The 16,341-nt window shown below is 36.6% G+C and overlaps 1 protein-coding gene across 14 annotated transcripts in view; it reads right to left on the bottom strand.

The window, feature by feature from the left end:
- Positions 1-16,341, bottom strand: part of MTHFD2L (methylenetetrahydrofolate dehydrogenase (NADP+ dependent) 2 like) — a 188,540-nt gene that overhangs the window by 39,908 nt on the left and 132,291 nt on the right. For 2 of the 14 annotated variants that reach the window (NR_147097.2, XM_047415710.1), the window contains one exon: positions 1,983-2,080. The exons of the other annotated variants lie outside the window; for them this stretch is intronic. Coding sequence is in view for 1 of the 2 variants with exons in the window: in XM_047415710.1 (XP_047271666.1) it covers positions 2,010-2,080 (71 nt within the window). In the remaining variant the exon portion in view is untranslated. The remainder of the gene's footprint in view (positions 1-1,982; positions 2,081-16,341) is intronic. 14 annotated transcript variants of the gene reach the window in all.

Here is a 16,341-nt window from a genome sequence, read left to right as displayed (position 1 = left end):
ACACACAGACCAATGGAACAGAATAGAGAACGTAGAAATAAGACAGCACACACACACACATAAATATACATACATATGTATACATATATACACATATATATATAGGATTACATTTGGATTAAAATTTTGAAACTACTAAGGTGTAACTGACATACAGAAAGCTGTCCATATTTAATGTAAACAACTTGGTGAGTTGAGAGATAAGTACACACTCTATTCCTCTATTGGTGAATGTTTTAGCTGCTTTCAATTATTTACTATCACCAACGAGCTGTAATACAGATTTCTGAATATACAGGTCAGGTATTTTTAGATATGTGGAAAAATAATGGAATCTCTAGGTCATATGAAGTGCACATTTTCAGATTTCATAACATTGTCAAATTACCTTCTAGAGGGACTATAATAAAGCATAACTTCATCAGCAGCATATGCAAGTATGTGCTTCCCTGGATCCTTGCCAACATTTGATATCATCAAGCTTTTCATTTTTTGCCAATCTGATGTGTGCAAACAGTGTCTTGTTTTGCTTTAATTTGCAATTGTCTGATTATCAGTGACATTGAGCAATTTTTACATGTGTATTAGCCATTTAAATATCCTTTCCTATAAATTGTTCTTTTAAAAGTTAGGTTTTTGTATTTTCAACCATATTTTTAAAAACATATTTATATATGCTGCATACTAATTCTTTGTTATGTATAATGCAAATATTTTCTCCCAATAAAATGCTAAAATTTTAACTCTAAGAGGCACTTGTTCCATAGATTTTAGGAATTATATATATATACCTCCAGCTTTTCTGTTTATTTTTACTCACATATTTGTCTGTATATTTGTGTGTATCTTTTCTAAGAAAATCCTACCTGCTCTAAATTTATGACCAAGTTCTATTAAGTTCTCCAATAATTTTTATTTTTGTTGTTTTTAATTTATGTTCTTTATCTCATCTGAAATATATTTGTATGTATGGGGTGAGTAGGAGTTTAACTAGATTTTTTTCCTAAATGGGAAGTCAAATGTTTTAATACTATTGATTGAAGTATTTAGTTTTTCCCCAGTGTTTAATGACACTACCCTATTTACATAGATTCACACATACGAATGTGTGTTTGTTTTTTCATCCTTCCCCATTATTTGTCTTTTCTTATGCCTATGCTTTAATTTTAATTACCAGTTCTTTATAATATGATTTGAGACAGAATAAAATACTACTCTGTTCATAATAATTAACATTTGTTGAGTCAGTCAGCGTTCTAAGTGCTTTACACGTATTATCTCTATTTGACCTTAGAACAATATATGATGTAGATGTTATTATCCCTACTTCGGAGGTAAGGAAACTGAGGAACAGAGAGCTTGAGTAACTTATAACTTAGGTAGCAAGCTCACACAACTTGCAAGTGGGAAAGCTAAGAAGCAGAAGGAAAAAGTCTTCTTACGCTTTTTCTTCCAATTAATCTTTATTCTTATAAATATGTGGATGCTAATAATAATTACAAGTTGCTAGGCATAATTTTGAACTATTTCAAATAAATCATGACATATGGTCACATTATTTATAAGATAATGCTTTTGTGGAATAAATCTTTCCACTCCTGTGCAAAATCATGAGCCTTTGGATGGTATGGAATTTATTGCTTTATTTGGCAATAATAGCATTCTTACGTGAATAAATTCTCCCACGCAAAAACATGGGTTAGAGCTCTACTTGCTCAGACTTTTCCCTTTGATTATATATTTGAAAAGTTCTTTCTATATTCTTGTTTCTGTTTAGTTTTATTCCAATGAATTTTATAGTTTTATTACTACTGTGAGTGGAATATATTTTCTATTACATTTTCTAATTATATATTATTGATATCTGTAGATACTACCTACATTTACGTTGTTATTGTATTCAGCAACCTTGCTGAACTTTCTCATTAGTTCTAATATTTTATCAGTTGATTATCTTGAGCTTTATGGATAAACTATCATACCTTCAAAGAACACCACCTCGTCTCCTCTTAGAAGTCTTTGTCTCCTAACTCATGTCTGTCAACTTGTTGCATTAGCCAGGAACACCAACAATACAATGCTGGAAAATATAAGTAATAGTTGTTATCTTTGTCCCACCTTTATATAAATGGGAATAATTCTAGTGTTTTACAACAGAGTATATATATATATATTTTTTTCTATTTATTTTCAGTTGATACCCTTTATTAGATTTTTTTAAAGCACCAAATATTGATAGCTTAAAATGAGATTTTTAATTGTTTCTTTGTTTTTTTTAAAAAAACACAAATGGGTATACACTTTTAATAACTGCTTTTTTCTGCATTTATAGAAGGTTATGAGTAATATTTTTAAAATTTTGAATTCTTGTCTTGTATTCTTTTCATACACTATGGTTTAAATTTGCTAATATTTGTAATAAGACTAGAACAAAGGTTTTTAAATTCTCCTGATGTCCTTGTCTTGTTTTGATATGACTATCGTAGTTTTATAAATTGAATGAAATAATGTTTCTGTTCCTCCTCCTCCTTCTTCACTTCTCATGAATCACACTTCACAAGACACAAATGATTTATTGTTTGAAGACTCAATAGAAATGATCTTGAAACTATCTAGTATTTATGTCATTAACATAAAGTATTCTGCTTACTATTTTAATTCATTCTATAGTGAGTGCCTTAATAGCTTTTGTACTGTTTGGGCCAAATTTGGTAACATTTTCTAGGCTTTAATATTTAACCTAGAGATCAGAGAGCCAAGGTGGCTGACTAGACAGACAGGAAGAGCTTCTTGCACCAAGAGAGACAAGACCATCAAGTAGGTCAGCATACTCCAAACAGATCTTCAGAAAGAAGGCATTGAGAGTGGATACAGGGAGGATTCACAGCCGGGGGCTGACAGTGTAGAAAACTGGGAACTCCCAATCAAGTTGCCTAACACCAAGACTCATTCCTGGCCCCAACTGGCTCCAAGAGAAGTGGTGAGTAAAACAGACATAGAGTGGCCCACTCTTGCCACAGACCTGTGGGATGCTAGCTATAGGAGGCCCCACAATCTCCACAGGCAATTGAGTTGACACAGAGAACTTCCAGGAGAGTTGGCAGAGCCAGAACTACAGTCTGCCTAGAGCCCAGAGGGTTTGGCATGGCAATGGCTGTAGTGGAGCATGATCATAAGTGCCCATTCCCCAAGGCTCATCATACTCCTCTAGGTGGCTTTATCTTTCCCTGTCTCTCTGTAAGATGCTACTCTACCTCTATTGGTATCACACCTAATTTTAGGCTCCATTGTCAATTGATTGCTCTACTGTTTCAACAATACCTTAGGGGATTAATGGCTCCAATGTCTAATCAATTATATTCAAGCCTCCTTGTAGGGCAATCTTTGAGGCCAGTATTTTGTTCTAACCCAAAGAGAGTTTTTCTTGGCTTTTTCATTCCCTACTTCTCTCTGTTAAACATATAGCTGATCTATGGTTTAGCTTGTTGCGTTCATGGACTACCAGTCTCCTCCAAATTATCTTATATCAAAATTGTCATTGTTTTTGACAGGGTCCTCAGGTTTGAATGTACCTATGGTCTGTTTCAAATAAACTTCTCTTAGGAAGAACTATGGGGCTCTCTGTTTTTGCAGACTACCTGTTTTTCAAAGCAAAACTCTTAGACATTTCTCCAGATCTGTGCCTCAGGGGCAGGTGCAGTGGCCCAGTGCTGCTAGAATGATAATCCTGTTACTAGTTCATGCTGGTGGTGGGGAGGAGTGGAGTGAGGATGAATGGTGGTATCCCCTGGTCTTCCCAGCTTCTGTCTTCTGGAACAAAACCTTTACCCTGTGCTGAGATGAGGATGAATTAGACCCAACATGATTGACTTGCAACATGTAACGTATAACTTCTACCCTATGAGTGGGTGCTGGGTGGGAAAATGGAGTGCTACATTTAGCTGCTTTGTTTAAATAGGAACTTCTGTAATATAGGCTTGGGGAGATAAAAAGTTCTGGCAGCCTGCTCCTTCTGGAGAGATGCCAGACTGGGATCTGAGAGAGAGCCTTGTGTTCTTAGCTGCAACTTCCTGGAATAAAGTTTTTGTCATACTGTGCTGGTAGAGGATAGGTGGAAAAAAGTAGTGGGTCATGGCTCAAATGCCACAGACTTGCATTTCTCTTACAGAGATTTAGTAGAATTTCTTGAGTAAATGTTTATGCATTTGCTATATGACCATGATGAATTTCTAAAGTCTTAAAATGATTTTAAAATATTTTTCACAAGTTATTTATTTATTTTTTTTACTGGGGACTGGGTTCACAGACTGGTTACACCACCATTCTGGAAGTATCTCCCTGTCCATAGTTTTCCTGACTTAATAAAAAATATTGTTCTGCACTGATACTTATGTTCATATTGTCGCCATAGAACTAATTATTTCATTTTTAATGATGAATGTTTAAATCAAATTTGCTATAATCTATATGATGTTAGATGTTTCATATTTTATAAATAAAATTCTAAAAACTTTGTATCGATTCCATAAATTTTATGTGTGTGTATATACAGTCATCCCTTGAAATACATCTGATATTTGTTCTAGAACTCCCTACATATACCAAAATCCTCATATACTCAAGTCCTGCAGTTAGTCCTGAAAAACTCATATAAAGTCAGCCCTTGTTGGTTTCACATCCAAGAATACCGTATTTTCAATCTTCATTTGGTTAAAAAAAATCTGTGTATAAATGGACCTGTGCAGTTCAAAACCATGTTGTTTAAGGATCAACTGTGTGTTTGTGTGTGTGTGTGTGTGTGTTATGTGCCTATCTTCTAGCTATCTCATATTTTCTTTATACATTCATCCATCAATGAATGCCTAAGTTGATTCCATATCTTGGCTATTGTGAATCATGCTGCAAGTTATCAGGACTGCAGTTATCTCTTCAAGATACTGATTTCAATTCCATAGGCTACGTACTTAGAAGGGTGATTACTAGTTAATATGGTAGTTCTATTTTTAATTTTTTTAGGAACCTCCATACTGTTTTCCATGATGGCTTAACCAATTTACATTTAAACTAACAGAACAAGGATTTCTTTTCTCCACATCCTTGCTAACATTTGTAACCTTTTTTTTTTCCAGCATAGCCAACCTAACAGTTGTGAGGTAATATCTCATTACAGTTTTGATCTGCATTTCCTTGATTACTGATGTCGAGCTTTTTCATATACCCAATGGCCATTTGTATGCCTTTTTTAGAGAAATGTCTAGTCAAGTCTTTTGCTCACTAAGAAAATCACATCATGTATGTGTGTGTGTATGTGGACTTTTTGCTAATGAGTTGTATGACTTACTTATATATTTTGGGTATTAACCTCTTATCAGATATGTGATTTGAAAATCTCTCATTCTGAGTGTCTTCTTTGCTGTGAAGAAGCTTTTCAAGTTGATAAAATCCCATTTGTCTATTTTTACTTTTGTTGCCTGTGCTTTGGCGGTCATATCCCAAAAACTAATGCCCAAACCAAAGTCCAGAAGCTTTTTCCCAAAGTATATTTCTCCATTCAGTTCTGTTAATATTTGCTTTATATTACATATTTAGGTTTGCTAAAGTTTGATACACACATAGTTATAACTGTTATATCCTCTAATTAATGGAATCCTAATTCTTGATATAATTAACTGAAGTTTTTGACTTAAAGTCTATTTTGTCTGTTATTAAGATAGTCCCTTCTGTTCCCTTTTGGGTACAATTTTCATGAAATATCTTTCTTCATCACTTCATTTTCAGCCTCTGTGTGTCCTTAAAGATAAAGCGAGTCACCTGTAGACAGAATATAGTTGAACTTACTTTTTTATTTTTTCATCCGCCTTATGTCTTTTGATTGGATTAAGTCATTTATATTTAAAGTAATTTTTATAGGTAAAAACTTACTATTACATTCAAGCTGAGAACCAAGTCAGGAATGCAATCCCATTTACAATAGCCAAGCACATACAAAATACCTAGAAATACATATAAACAAGAGGTGAAAGAGCTCTACAAAGAGAATTACAAAATACTGCTGAAAGAAATCAGAGGTGACACAAACAAATGGGAAAAAGTTCTGTGCTCATGGATTGGAAATATCATTATCATTAAAAGGGCCATACTGCCTAAAACAATCTACAGATTCATTGCTATTCCTATGAAACTACCAATGTCATCTTTTCACATAATTAGAAAAAAAAATTCTAAAATCCATGTGGAACCAATAAAGAGCCCAAATAGCCAAATAAATCCTAAGCAAAAAGAACAAAGCTGGAAGCATCACATTATCTGATTTCAAACTCTACATTACCCAACTTCAACCTATACAGCCATAGTAACCCAAACAGCATGATGCTGGTACAAAAACAGAGACCAATGGAACAGAATAGAGAACCCAGAAATAAAACTGCACATATATAACTATTTGATTATAGCAAATAGTTATACGTTTCCCCACTGACAATCATTTGATTATGACAAATGGTTATAGGTGTCCCCATTGACAAAAATAGCAATGGGGAAAGGACTTTCTATTCCATAAATGGTGCTGAGATAGCTGGCTAGCCATATGCAGAAGGATGAAATTGGCTACCTTTTGCCATATTCAAAATTAACTCAAGATGGATTGAAGATTTAAATATAAGGCCTCAAACTATAAGAATCGTAGAAGAAAATCTAGGAAACACCATTCTGAACATCAGCCTTGGGAAGGAATTTATGACTAAGTCCTCAAAAGCAATCGCAACAAAAATAAACATTGAGGCTGGGCATGGTGGCTCACACCTGTAATCCCAGCCCTTTGGGAGGTACCGAGACAGGCAGATCACTTGAGGTCAGGAGTTCAAGACCAGCCTGGCCAACATGATGAAACCCCATCTCTATTAAAAATATATAAAAATAGCTGGGTGTGGTGGCATGCGCCTGTAGTCCCAGCTACTCAGGAGGCTAAGAGAGGAAAGAGATACCATCTTATACCAGACAGAATGGCTATTATGAAAAAATCAAGACAACAGATGCTGGTGAGGCTGGGGGAAAAAAGAATACTTATATACTGTTGGTGGGAATGTAAATTAGTTTAGCCACTGTGGAAAGCAGCTTGGAGATTTCTCAAATAACTTAAAACAGAAACAGAACTACCATTTGACCCAGCAGTCCCATTACTGGGTATTATCCAAAAGGAAACAAATCATTCTAGTAAAAAGACATATACTCATATGTCCACTGCAGCACTCTTTATAGTAGCAGACATAGCATCAACCTAGATGTCCATAAAGAATGGACTGGATAAAGAAAACATACTACATATACACCATGGAATGGTACACAGCCACAAAAAAAGGATGAAACAGTGTCCTTTGCAGCAATATGGATAGAGCTTTAGGCCATTATCTTAAGTGAATTAACTCAAGAACAGGAAAGCAAATACCACATGTTCTTATTTATTAATAAAAGGGGGAGCTAAACATTAGGTAATCATGAACATAAAGATGGCAACAGTAGACACTGGAGACTACTAGAAGTGGAAGAGAGGGGGGAAACAAGGCCTGAAAAAATAACTATTGGTACTATGCTCACTAGCTGACCAATGGAATCATTTCATACCCCAAACCTCAGCAGCATACAATATACCCTTGTAAAAAACCTGGACATGTATCCCCTGAATCTAAAAGTTAAAATTATTTAAAAAAGAACTTACTATTTAAAAAAATATTTTCTTACTGTTTTCTAGTTCCTTTCTTCTTTCTCCATTTTCCTCTGTGACTAATGATATTTGTAGTATTATGCTTTGATTCCTTTAACTTTTATATATCTACTTACTACATGTTTTTTTCTTTGTGGTTACCATGAAGCTCACATAAAATATCTTACAGTTACAACTGTATTCAAGCTGATAACAGCTTAACTTTAGCTATATACAAAACCTCTACACTTTAACTTCTCCTTCCCCCACAAATTATGTTACTGATGTCACAATTTACATTTTTTTATACTGTATACCCATTAACTAATTCTTTTTTTTTTTTTTTTTTTTTTTTTGGAGATGGAGTCTCGCTCTTTTTGCCTAGGGTAGAGTGCAATGACATGATCTCAGCTCACTGTAACCTCCGCCTCCCTGGTTCAAGCGATTCTCCTGCCTCAGCCTCCCGAGTAGCTGGGATTACAGGCACCTGCCACCATGCTTGGCTAATTTTTGTATTCTTAGTAGAGATGGGGTTTTACCACATTGGCCAGGCTGGTCTCGAACTCCTGCCCTCAGGTGATCCGCCCACCTCGGCCTCCCAAAGTGCTAGGATTACAGGCAGGAGCCACTGCGCCCAGCCAATTAACTAATTCTTGCAGCTAATTACTTTTACTTTTTTAATACCGTTCTCTTTTAATCTTCATACTAAAGTTAAAAGTGATTTACACACCACTGTTAGAGTATTAGAGTATGTTGAACTTGACTATATTCTTACCTTCACAATGAGTTTTATACCTGTTTTTATGTTCTTAGTATACTTTCATTTCAACTTGAAGAACTCAATTTAGCATTTCTTTTAAGGCATGTCCAGTGGTGATAAACTCCCTCAGCATTTTTTTTTTTTTGGAGGTGGGGGAGTTTTTTCTTTCTTTTATTGTTTAAGGACAGTTTTGCTGATATATTATACTTAGTTGATAGTTCTATTTGTTTGTTTTTATTTAGCACTTTGAATATACCATGACACTCTCTTGGCCTTCAAGGTTTGCTGAGAAATCCACTGCTGAGAAATCTTATGCGGGTTCTCTTGTTTAAGATGATTCACTTTTGTGGCTTTCAAGATTTTCTTTTTTGCATTTGACATTTGAAATTTTTATTTTAATGCGTTTTGGTATATACCTCTTTTGGTTCAATCTATTTGGAGTTTTTTAGGGCTTCATGAAGCTGAATGCCCATTTCCCTCTGCAGATTTGAAAATTTTTCAGCCAATATTTATGTTTAATTTATTTGGGGTTCTTTGGGATTCATGGATCTTGATATTCATTTCCCTCTGCAGATTTTAGAAGTTGTCTGTTAATATTTCTTTAATTAAGCTTTCTGCCCACATTTTGTTCTCTGTTTCTTCTAGACGTCCCCAAATGCATTTATTGGTTTTCTGTAAGGCAGTCCTGGTGCCTGGATCTGAAGGCATGGACCTCATCCTGAGTCCATGGACCCTGTCCTGCTACTGGGGTCCACTGAGGAAGTCTTGGCATTTGGGTTCACAAGGCAGATCTGGTGCCTGTCACTATGGGGACAGGCCTAGAGTCTGGATATATAGAGGTAAGCAAGGGGCTTGGGTCCATGGAGCCAGGCTGGTGGTGAGGTAGACCTGGGGCCTGAGTCTGCATGGGCAGGCCTGGGTCCTGGTGTTCTGGTGCTGGCCTCCAGCCTAGAGCCATGGGGTAGTTTGAAGCCTAGGTCGACAGGAGCTAGCCTGGTTCTGCGGTGGGCATGAAACCTGTGTCAGCATGAGCAAGCCTGGGTTATGGTCCTCTGGTGCTTGCCTGGAGCCTGGGGCCATGGTGGTGGCCTGAAGCCTGATGCTTGTGGGAGGTGGCCTAGCTTTGGGATTCACTGGGGTGAGGTTGGTGCTGCGATTTGCAGTGAAGTTGAGGGCTCACTTCACTCTCCCTCTTCCATAGAGCAGGAGGCTTGAGGAAGGTGTGAAGTGGGAAATGTAAAAATGTCCTTCCTATACTCTCTAATTTGCCTTTTCTTATTTGTATGTTCCACTGATGTGCTATAACATCTTACCCACATTCCTTAGCTCTTATAAAGATATTTTCTTGCAATGGATGTTTGTTCAAATTCATGTTTCTGTGAGGAAGCAAGTGCTAGAAACTCCTATCTTGCAATCTTGCAGATGTCACCCCAAATATAATTATTAATGTTATTTTACAAGTCAGCACTCAGATGAACATATATATTTTGGTGGGGGAGTGGCTCACTTTTGCATCTTCTCTTCTACTACTGCTTACTAGAATCATTGTAAAGGAAATCAGATTTCTGGTTCCTTATATAGCTGGAAATTTCTTCATTGCACCATTCTACTGAGTGACAGTTTAGCTGGGTGTAAAATTCTAAATTAATTTTTTTCCTCAAAATTTTGAAACTATTACTCTATCATCTTCTAACATCTAAAACCACCAATCAGTAAGTAATTAGGTTTCACTTAGATCTTAGTTTATTTGTAGGTATTCTCCTTACCCCTTATAAATTCTAGGATTGTTAATGTTCTGAAATTTTAATATATGTATCTAAAAATAATTATTTTAATATTTCTCAGAAATAAATTTTTTAAACTCAGGACTCACATCTTTTAGCTTTGTGATCAGTGATTTCCCTTAAAATGTTATGTCTATATTCATCTTAATAATCTCTAGTATCACCTTCTGAAACTCTTAAGCAGAATTTCTTATGTTCCATATCACAAGCCATGTTTTCTAGATACTTATTTCTCTGTGCTGAATTCTGGGATGAGTTCAGTTTATTACTCCAGAAGATTTATTTTCTGTTGTGTTCATATTGCTATTTAGTGTTAAAGTTTTATTTTTTAACTTCAAAATATTTTTCATTTTAAATATTTCTAATTAATTCATTTTCATAATTATCAATTTTATATAACCCCATATTCTTGTTTTATAAACTGTTATTCTCTCATTACTATAATCCCTTTTTTATCTTCATAATGCCATAAAAATACTTAAAATCCATTTTGTTTGCACTTGTATGCCTATTTTCCTCACCCTCAGGTTTTCTGTTTGTCAAGTCTGTTGTTTGTCCTTGTCTTTGTTAAGTGCCTATGTTGTTATGACCCCCGAGATATCTCATCCTACAGGATCCTGGTCTCTTGCCGTAAGTTTGCAGTGGCCTTAGCCAAGGCTCCAATAATAGTCTGGTACAGAACAGGCCTTGCAGTCACGGCTGCCAGTCTTCAAAGATTCATTTCTAGACTTGTTCTTGCTTAGCTTTAGACTCCCATAACTGTATAAAATTTGCTGCAGGAGCCGCAAGCTATATGGCAGAAGGTGCTGCTATTCCAAGTAGCCAAGAGTAGAGAAAGAGGTGGCATCTTTCCCAGCACCCAGCACCATACAAGTTGTGCAGACATGGCTCTCAGCTATATGCCCAACTTGTGTGGGCATAAAGAATGCTTTTTCCAAGCATTCACCTGGGTCCCATCACCCACCTTGCCTGTGGACTAGCTTCACAGCTTCAGGGTGTTCCGAACTCATTTGTTCCCCACTGCTTTTTATTAAGGTGACATCCTTATTCTAGTCTACAGAGACCTCTCTTTCTTGTTTTCTAGAACAACTATGCTGATTAATTTTAAAAATAGTTTTGTTTGCTACTGGAAATTCAGAAATTGAGAAAATTACATGGTCTGTTTAGGAGCTCATTGTCACAAAAGAGAGTCAGATAGCTATAATAGAATATGGCACTATGATATAGGAATGTCCAGGGTATGGAGGAAATCAAGCACAATGGGGTTTAGGGAGGGGGATACTTAGCCTGGCTTGTGGCAGTGAGGGCATGTTTTTCAGGCATATTTGTGGAAGTGAGGGCATGAGCTGATTCTTGAGAGCTATAAGTACATCAGGTGAATGAGTGAAAAAACTACTCTGAACAGAAGAATCTGACTACACAACAAAGCAGGGATTTCCAATAAACTTGGAAAGATTTAGGAAGCTAAAAAGAGTTTGGGATAATTAGAGTATAGGATGTATGTTGAAGACAACGGTTGGTGATGAAGCTGGAGTACAATCACAACCACCAAATGATAGAAAACATTTCATTCTCATCATGTACTTAGGAGAAGAGAAAGGCTGATTCATGTGCAAATGACCACATTACAGTTCAGGTACATCCACTATTTACAAGAGACTTGGTTTATCCATTGAAAATGTCAAGAACCGCAAGTTTTGCATTACACTGAATTCTTGTAAAAAACCATGACTGAATGTATCTAATGATTTTGGAGAAATGAACATGACAGAAATCTACATGATAGGCTTAACCCAGCATACTATTTATTGTTAGAGGAGAGATGAGTCTGAGTTCATCTTAGATCTTAGAGTTCATCACTCAGATTGGACTCTATTCTGGGCTCCTAGGGAGTCAATCTGAAGTCGTGGAGAAGGAGAAGCCATAAATAAAAAATACAAGGGATATTTCCCTAAAATTCTGTAATATGCTGGTGCAACTCTGAGAGGGAATAACATAAGGGAGAGGCATTTTTCCCATTTTGCCACAGAACTCCAGGCAGCTCCACTTAAAGGGCTTCAGCATATCTAAAATGGAGTGCGCAGTTGGGAGACTGTGTCTGCTGTGGCAGCTGTTCTTGGCAAGAATAATAGAACCTCATCTTAACACACACATACAGATGTGTGTTGTAGGCAAACAGTTATGAAGGGGTTGAAGCAAGAGAAGAGAACACCATATAATAACTGACTGGATTTGCTAGGGAGTATAACAACCTATTAGAAGCTCTCAAAAATATCATTAGCAAAGGTGCAAGGCATAATTAAGAGGAACTGCACGCAGAACCTTTAAAGTTTTAGCACTATCCAGGAAATAGTAGAACAATATCCAGATAGAAAAATATTTCCAATATTTCAATAGAAATTTGCTGAATAGCTACTATGTGCTAGGTGGTATAGTAGGTGTGAGGGATAAAACCATGAACAAGGCAGCCAAAAATTCCTTCCCTAATGGAGTCTACATTTTCACAGGGAAGATGGCCAGTAACCATACAAATAAATAGATACATAATAAAATGTTGGGTAATGATAAGTGTTAGAAAAAAAAAGACTGCTATTTTTAAATAGGCCTCTCTACACATCTACCATTTAAACAGAGACATGAATTAAATTAGAGAGTGTGATTATGCAAGTTAGTGATTTTCAAACTTTTTTGTTTCAGAACTCCTTTATGTTCTTAAAAATTATTGAAAATCCGAAGCAAGAAGGGAAGTTTAGAGAAAAAAGAATAAAAAGAAATGAACAAAGCCTCCAAGAAATATGGGACTACGTGAAAAGACCAAATCTGCGTCTGATTGGTGTACCTGAAAGTGACGGGGAGAATGGAACCAAGTTGGAAAACACTCTGCAGGATATTATCCAGGAGAACTTTCCCAATCTAGCAAGGCAGGCAACATTCAGATTCAGGAAATACACAGAACGCCACAAAGATACTCCTCGAGAAGAGCAACTCCAAGACACATAATTGTCATATTCACCAAAGTTGAAATGAAGGAAAAATGTTAAGGGCAGCCAGAAAGAAAGGTCGGGTTACCTACAAAGGGAAGCCCATCAGACTAACAGTGGATCTCTCAGCAGAAACTCTACGAGCCAGAAGAGAGTGGGGGCCAATATTCAACATTCTTAAAGAAAAGAATTTTCAACCCAGAATTTCATATCCAGTCAAACTAAGCTTCATAAGTGAAGGAGAAATAAAATACTTTACAGACAAGCAAGTGCTGAGAGATTTTGTCACCACCAGGCCTGCCCTAAAAGAGCTCCTGAAGGAAGCACTAAACATGGAAAGGCACAACAGGTACCAACTGCTGCAAAATCATGCCAAAATGTAAAGACCATCAAGATTAGGAAGAAACTGCATCAACTAACGAGCAAAATAACCAGCTAACATCATAATGACAGGATCAAATCACACATAACAATATTAACTTTAAATGTAAATGGACTAAATGCTCCAACTAAAAGACACAGACTGGCAAATTGGATAAAGAGTCAAGACCCATCAGTGTGCTGTATTCAGGAAACCCATTTCATGTGCAGAGACACACATAGGCTCAAAATAAAAGGATGGAGGAAGATCTTCCAAGCAAATGGAAAACAAAAAAAGGCAGGGGTTGCAATCCTAGTCTCTGATAAAACAGACTTTAAACCAACAAAGATCAAAAGAGACAAAGAAGGCCATTACATAATGGTAAAGGGATCAATTCAACAAGAAGAGCTAACTATCCTAAATATATATGCACCCAATACAGGAGCACCCAGATTCATAAAGCAAGTCCTGAGTGACTTACAAAGAGACTTAGACTCCCACACATTAATAATGGGAGACTTTAACACCCCACTGTTAACATTAGACAGATCAACAAGACAGAAAGTTAACAAGGATACCCAGGAATTGAACTCAGCTCTGCACCAAGCAGACCTAATACACATCTACAGAACTCTCCACCCCAAATCAACAGAATATACATTTTTTTCAGCACCACACCACACCTATTCCAAAATTGACCACATACTTGGAAGTAAAGCTCTCCTCAGCAAATGTAAAAGAACAGAAATTATAACAAACTGTCTCTCAGACCACAGTGCAATCAAATTAGAACTCAGGATTAAGAAACTCACTCAAAACCGCTCAACTACATGGAAACTGAACAACCTGCTCCTGAATGACTACTGGGTACATAACGAAATGAAGGCAGAAATAAAGATGTTCTTTGAAACCAATGAGAACAAAGACACAACATACCAGAATCTCTGGGACACATTCAAAGCAGTGTGTAGAGGGAAATTTATAGCACTAAATGCCCACAAGAGAAAGCAGGAAAGATCCAAAATTGACACCCTAACATCACAATTAAAAGAACTAGAAAAGCAAGAGCAAACACATTCAAAAGCTAGCAGAAGGCAAGAAATAACTAAAATCAGAGCAGAACTGAAGGAAATAGAGACACAAAAAACCCTTCAAAAAATTAATGAATCCGGGAGCTGGTTTTTTGAAAGGATCAACAAAATTGATAGACTGCTAGCAAGACTAATAAAGAATAAAAGAGAGAAGAATCAAATAGACGCAATAAAAAATGATACAGGGGATATCACCACTGATCCCACAGAAATACAAACTACCATCAGAGAATACTACAAACACCTCTATGCAAATAAACTAGAAAATCTAGAAGAAATGCATAAATTCCTTGACACATACACTCTCCCAAGACTAAACCAGGAAGAAGTTGAATCTCTGAATAGACCAGTAACAGGCTCTGAAATTGTGGCAATAATCAATAGCTTACCAACCAAAAAGAGTCCAGGACCAGATGGATTCACAGCCGAATTCTACCAGAGGTACAAGGAGGAACTGGTACCATTCCTTCTGAAACTATTCCATTCAATAGAAAAAGAGGGAATCCTCCCTAACTCATTTTATGAGGCCAGCATCATCCTGACACCAAAGCCGGGCAGAGACACAACCAAAAAAGAGAATTTTAGACCAATATCCTTGATGAACATTGATGCAAAAATTCTCAATAAAATACTGGCAAACCGAATCCAGCAGCACATCAAAAAGCTTATCCACCATGATCAAGTGGGCTTCATCCCTGGGATGCAAGGCTGGTTCAATATATGCAAATCATTAAATGTAATCCAGCATATCAAGAGAACCAAAGACAAAAACCACATGATTATCTCAATAGATGAAGAAAAGACCTTTGACAAAATTCAACATCCCTTCATGCTAAAAACTCTCAATAAATTAGGTATTGATGGGACGTATCTCAAAATAATAAGCGCTATCTATGACAAACCCACAGCCAATATCATACTGAATGGGCAAAACCTGGAAGCATTCCCTTTGAAAACTGGCACAAGACAGGGATGCCCTCTCTCACCACTCCTATACAACATAGTGTTGGAAGTTCTGGCCAGGGCAATTAGGCAGGAGAAGGAAATAAAGGGCATTCAATTAGGAAAAGAGGAAGTCAAATTGTCCCTGTTTGCAGATGACATGATTGTATATCTAGAAAACCCCATTGTCTCAGCCCAAAATCTCCTTCAGCTGATAAGCAAATTCAGCAAAGTCTCAGGATACAAAATCAATGTATAAAAATCACAAGCATTCTTATAAACCAATAACAGACAAACAGAGAGCCAAATCATGAGTGAACTCCCATTCACAATTGCTTCAAAGAGAATAAAATACCTAGGAATCCAACTTACAAGGGACATGAAGGACCCCTTCAAGGAGAACTACAAACCACTGCTCAATGAAATAAAAGAGGATACAAACAAATGGAAGAACATTCCATGCTCATGGGTAGGAAGAATCAATATTGTGAAAATGGCCATACTGCCCAAGGTAATTTATAGATTCAATGCCATCCCCATCAAGCTACCAATGACTTTCTTCACAGAATTGGAAAAAACTACTTGAAAGTTCATATGGAACCAAAAAAGAGGCCGCATCGCCAAGTCAATCCTAAGCCAAAGGAACAAAGCTGGAGACATCATGCTACCTGACTTCAAACTATACTACAAGGCTACAGTAACCAAAACAGCATGTTACTGGTA

The sequence above is a fragment of the Homo sapiens genome, chromosome 4, assembly GCF_000001405.40.
Source record: "Homo sapiens chromosome 4, GRCh38.p14 Primary Assembly".
Classification (NCBI taxonomy): domain Eukaryota; kingdom Metazoa; phylum Chordata; class Mammalia; order Primates; family Hominidae; genus Homo; species Homo sapiens.
Note: the sequence above shows the minus strand (reverse complement) of the source record. Positions and strands in the feature narration are given on the sequence as shown.